The 6048-nt window shown below is 44.2% G+C and overlaps 1 pseudogene; it reads right to left on the bottom strand.

Annotated features, from left to right (window-relative positions):
* KRT18P37 (keratin 18 pseudogene 37) lies at positions 4494-5855 on the bottom strand (annotated as a pseudogene).

Here is a 6048-nt window from a genome sequence, read left to right as displayed (position 1 = left end):
TCCCGGGTTCAAGCAATTCTCCTGCCTCCGCCTCTTGAGTAGCTGGGATTACAGGCGCCCGCCACCACGCCCAGCTAATTTTTTGTTTGTATTTTTAGTAGAGACGGGGTTTCACCATGTTGGCCAGTCTGGTCTCAAACTCCTGACCTTGTGATCCACCCGCCTCGGCCTCCCAAAGTGCTGGGATTACAGGCATGAGCCACCGTGCCCGGCCAAGCTTATCTGTTAAACGAAATGATCAGATTGAATTTTACCCTCTGAGCCTAAATGCTGGCTTTGGTCTCAGAGGCATTTTTACTTGCTGTCTTAACTGCTGCATGGAGTTAATATACAGCTGTGTATTACTCTGGCAGCACACATTTCCTTTATGGAAAACTTGTGGTCACTTCAAAATCTACACAGTACTTGGGAATAGAAAACAACTATTCCCTTTCTATTCCTAGGGAATAGAAAACAACTTGTCACAAGCAAATTTCCTCAGGGAGCCCCTATCAGGGATCTGATAATTTTACATTTATAGCTCTTGCTGGCAGGGGCTGGTGAAGTTTCTGTATTCAAGATGGCTGCTGTGGGGTTTCTGGTTACTTAAAAGGTGATTTTTCCTATCCTGAAATAGTCCCTCCATGTCATTAAATATTAAGGGAAGATCTTTTCTGCAATATTAAAAATCCCCCAAAACATGCTGTTTGGCCTTTCCTAATTGTGTGTGTGTGTGTTGTTGTTGTTGTTGTTTTTGAGACAGGATCTCATTCTGTCACCCAGGCTGGAGTGCAGTGGCATGATCTCAGCTCACTGCAGCCTCGACCTCTCAGGCTTAAGTGATCCTCCCACCTCAGCCCTGCAAGTAGCTGGGACCACAGGCGTGGGCCACCATGCCCAACTAATTTTTGTGTTTTTTTGTAGAGACAAGGTTTTGCTGTTGCCCAGGCTGGTCTCAACTTCTGGGCTCAAGTAATCTGCCCACCTTGGCCCCTCAAAGTGCTGGGATGATAGGTGTGAGCCCAGCCCCTACTTTTTTTTTGTTTTTGTTTTTGTTTTGAGATGGAGTCTTGCTCTGTTGCCTAGGCTGGAGTGCAGTGGCGTGATCTTGGCTCACTGCAGCCTCCGCCTCCCGGGTTCAAGTGATTCTCCTGCCTCAGCCTCCCGGGTAGCTGGGATTACAGGTGCTTGCCAACACACCCAGCTAATTTTTGTATTTTCAGTAGAGATGGGGTTTCACTATGTTGGCCAGGCTGGCCTCGAACTACTGACCTCAAATGATCCACCCACTTCGGCCTCGCAAAGTGTTGGGATTACAGGTGTGAGCCACCGTACCTGGCCTGGCCCCTAATTGTTAACTGAAGCACTCTTCATTTTAAAATTAGAAACGAGAATCACAGATGTTGATTTTCAAGCGCATAATTCTTCAAATATCTAAGAAAGTAGAAACTGGACTAAGTAAAACATTTGTAGATTTTATGAGATAAACAAAGATGTGCAAGTTGTGCACATGAATCCTTTTGTTGGGAGGAAAAGATCACATCTATGTTTCTCAGCCCTTGCACATCCCAGAATCTGAGCTAGCTATGTTGTTTGACACTCGGCTGCTCCGTGAAGAGTAATTAACAAAACATTTTGAATACAAGTTATTATCATTTCCTGGCAATAAACAGGTCTGTTAAAACATGAGGTAAGAGGATATATACATGAACAGAAACAGAAAGATCAAGAACAACAGATATGGCAGCTAATAGGTGGATTTTTAGGTCTCCTGCTTTTTTTTTTTAAAGAACTCTTTGTAGGTGAAACGAAATATTTCTTCAAAGATAGTTTATAAATCTGAAGATTAAAGATTTCACTAGCAAAGTAAAATGTGACAGCACAAAGTTAGATAAGTTACTAAGTCAATAAATCCTTTTATTGCTCAGATACTATTTTTTTAAAAACCCACAACATCCTGCTAGCATAAACTTGTTTTCACTTGACAATAACCCTTAACCAAAGATCTTTGGTAGTGCCTAACTCATAAAAACTTTTTTTTTTTTTTTTTTTTTTTTTGCAAAATGGAGGCTTAAAAATGTAAAGAGTAGGCGTTAAGTTCCCATAGGGCTTCCTGGTTGTAGGCAGAATTTCACAGAACTTCGTATCTGCAGCATTTGAGGTACATATATGGGAAGAACTTAGGATATAATTCAGAAGAGCCAAGATCTTTATTTTGGTTCTGTAATTCTGTGCCTACTCATTTTGGAGCAAAATACATGTATTGCTGTACCCCTAACAATCCTAGCACGTAGGTGGTCCACAATCCCCATTTTGACATTCCCAACAATCCACAGCAAATGGGATGTTAATCAGATGTTTGCCGTTCTCTACACATTTCCAAGTTTTGAGTACAGTACTGGAGAGTACCATCATAAAGCCATTTATTCCAGCTCTTGGGGGTGGGGTAGAATAAAATCATTCACACTGACACCCTTGCACATTAAAGCTGGTCACTGTGTAATGGTTACAGTCATCGATGTTTATCCTTCCAGCAAGCACACATGAGGACAGGGATGACTCTGGCCTGTTTCAGTTAGTGTTTGCACTACAGAGTAGTCTCTGGTGATGTTAGACTACAAGCGTGCTTGATTCATTTTATCTAATGAGTGACAAGCACCTTTTTTCATATTGTTCTTGTAACTTTGATTTTACATAGAGAAATTCAGTAGCAAGAACTCAAATGAGTACAAAGTATTGTTTGTGCTTTATTAGGTCCTTAGAGAATTTTGAAAAGTGGAAATTATCTGAAAATAAGCTTTTATCAGAAGACTAAGTTAAAAGAATTAAGGAGAAATAGACTTCTAAGTTTTGCAGTTTCAATCATAGCTGGATTTAATGTTACATAGAGAATAATACAGGACAAAGTATGAGCAGGAGGCTTATTTATTATTTACTTTACCCAACTCAGAGGTTTCGATGCAATTCCTTTCCTTTCCCTGGGAATTCCTAATCTAGAATTAAAGGGCATTGGGATCCTCAAGGGTACTTATCTCCAGGCAAAAGTCCACTCTATTGGAGCTTAAGCCACAGATATCTCCTCCCAGTTTTAGAAGACTTTACCAAGGGAGCACACAAATCACTGCCTATCAAAAGCCAGACAAACGCCGCACCAATCCAGGTGTAGCACCGTAATTCTATTCTGATGTTAATGACCTGATGGGTCAACTTACCTCTCATTCATTTATGCACTTTACAAACATGTGAGAGCTAAGTATCTGTAGCACTGTGTATGAGGATGCATGGAGTGTGAGGTGGATGCAAGGGTAAGTAGGAAACCACCTCTGCCCTCATGGAATGTACAATCTCCTTTGTTTGGAGGGGGAAAGAAGCTGGTGAAGGGGAGAGGAGGTAAGTACATAAATCAGATATGGCACCAGTACTCTGATTTCCTTTGACATTAAAACAAATAACAAAAAACAAAGCATGTTACTCCTGGGAAACTGTAGCTTTAACTTATGCTAGGAGCCAGGGCTAAGTGGAATACAGAAGAAATTTAATTGAGGTGTTATGACCTCTTTTTTGTCTCCTGGCTATATAAGTATTATTTACTATGAGTTTCACTGGATAAGGAGAGACATTGAACATTTTATATAGGAAAATAAGCTTACAAAAGAAAGTTGGACTATGGACTGTAACTTCTAAGTTGTTAATTTTCTACAAATCTACCTTATTTAAAAGAAATGGAGTCTGGGTCGGGTGCGGTGGCTCACGCCTGTAATCCCAGCACTTTGTGAGGCTGAGGCTGTTGGATCACCTGAGTTCAGGAGTTCTAGACCAGCCTGGCCAATATGGCGAAACCCTGTCTCTACTAAAAATTGCACCACTGCACTCCAGCCTGGGTGACAAGAGCGAAACTCCATCTCAAAAACAAAAACAAAAAATGGAATCTGTATTTGGATTGTTTGTAACACAGTGCTTGAGGGGGATGAGTAGCCCATTTGACATACTGTAATTATTACGCATTGCATGCCTGTATCAAAACATCTCATGTACACCGTGAATATAGACACCTATGTACCCAGAAAAAAAAATAATAAAACTACACTGAGTCATCAGGTGATCCAAGATAGTAACAATAACTGTGATGCCTTTTTCCTAATGAAACATGCCAATGTCTTATTTCTTTAAATATGTTTTTTAGGCTGGGTGTGGTGGCTCACACCTGTAATCCCAGCACTTTGGGAGGCTGAGGCAGGCAGATCACCTGAGGTCAGGAGTTTGAGACCAGCCTGGCCCACATGGTGAAACCCTGTCTCTACTAAAAATAAAAAAATTAGCTGGGCATGGTGGCGGGCGCCTGTAATCTCAGCTACTCGGGAGGCTGAGGAAGGAGAATCACTTGAATCCGGGAGGCGGAGTTTGCAGTGAGCCGAGATGGTGCCATTGCACTCCAGCCTGGGCAAAAAGCAAAACTCCATCTCAAAAAAAATATACATTTTTTAATTACCATGGACTATTCCTTGATGTTTTTTTGACCTCTGAACTTTTTATTGGCCTCTTACTCCCCACAGGGTACCCTGCTTCTGCTGGCTTAATGTCTCAGAACTTTGGTGTCACTGATCTCAGACACCACTTTGCTATCCACTATCTGGCGGGTGGTGGTCTTTTGGATGGTTTGCATGGAGTTGCTGCTGTCCAGGGCATCACCAAGATTGAGGCCCTCGCTGTCTTCCAGCAGGCGGCGGTAGGTGGCGATCTCAGCCTCCAGCTTGACCCTGATGTTCAGCAAGTCCTTGTACTCCTGGACCTTGCGCTGGCCCTCTGCCCAGTTCTGTGCCAGCTTTGACTCCAAGTACAGCAGGATTCTGTTGAGCTGCTCCATCTGCAGGGCGTAGCGGGCCTCCACCTCCCTCAGGCTGTTCTACAAGCTGGTCTTCAGATTTCTCATTGAGTCCAGGTCAATCTCCAAGCACTGGACTGTACGTCTCAGCTCCGTGTCATCTCAGCAGCTCTGACCTTGGCAGAGTGTGTGGTGACCACTGTGGTGCTCTCCTCAGTCTGCTGAGACCAGTACTTGCCTAGCTTCTCTGAGTTCTTCTGAGACAGCTCATCCTATTGGGCCCTGATGTCTGCCATGACCTTGGCGAGGACTTGAGATTTGGGGGCATCTACCTCCACGGCCAACCCAGAGTTGGCAATCTGGACTTGCAAGCCTTTTACTTCCTCTTCATGGTTCTTCTTCATGAGGAGCAGCTCCTCCTTGAGAGCGCCCATCTCTGTCTCCAGCTGCAGCAGAGTGACATTGGTGTCATCAATGACCTTGCAGAGCCCATGGATGTTGCTCTCCACAGACTGGCGCATGGCCAGCTCTTGTCTCATACTTGACTCTGAAGTCATCAGCAGCAAGACGGGCATTGTCGATCTGCAGAATGATGTGGACATTGTCCACAGTATTTGCGAAGATCTGAGCCCTCAGTTCCTTGATGGTCTTGAAGTAATGGCCCCAGTCTCTGACATGGGGTCTCTTCTCCAGATACTCCTGGATTTTGCTCTCCAGCCTCCAGTTCTCGGTCTCCAGGTTCCTCACTCTGTCCAGGTAGTCCAGGTGGTCGTTCAGGCTTTGCATGGTCTCCTTCTCATTCTGGATGCCCCCCATTTCTGCCAGACCCCCAGCCATCTCTGTGGCCAGGCCCCCAGACCCCAAGCCGCCCCAGAAACTGGTAGAACAGGACATGGAGATCTGGGATCCCAAGCCCCCCAGTGCCTGCATAGATGCTGGCTGCGCTGCTGACCGGCCAGGTGCCATAGCTGGGCGGCTGGACAGAGCCCAGGGACTGGTAGTTGGTGGAGAAGGTGGAGGGAGTGGTGAAGCTCATGCTGTCCGGGGAAGAGAGCAGGCTTTGTCAACGACTACTCCTTAATTTTTACTTATAATATACCTGCTGTTGTAAGATAAAGCAGGTAAGAAATTGAGAGGTGTGACATAGAAATGTAAGATGTTTATTTTAAAACACTAAGCTACATTGTACGGTACACTACTACAATTCTAGTATTATCTGACAAATTTAGTGTCCTATCATTTACCAC

Source organism: Homo sapiens, chromosome 8 (assembly GCF_000001405.40).
Source record: "Homo sapiens chromosome 8, GRCh38.p14 Primary Assembly".
Taxonomy (NCBI): domain Eukaryota; kingdom Metazoa; phylum Chordata; class Mammalia; order Primates; family Hominidae; genus Homo; species Homo sapiens.
This window is presented reverse-complemented; position numbering and strand designations above follow the sequence as displayed.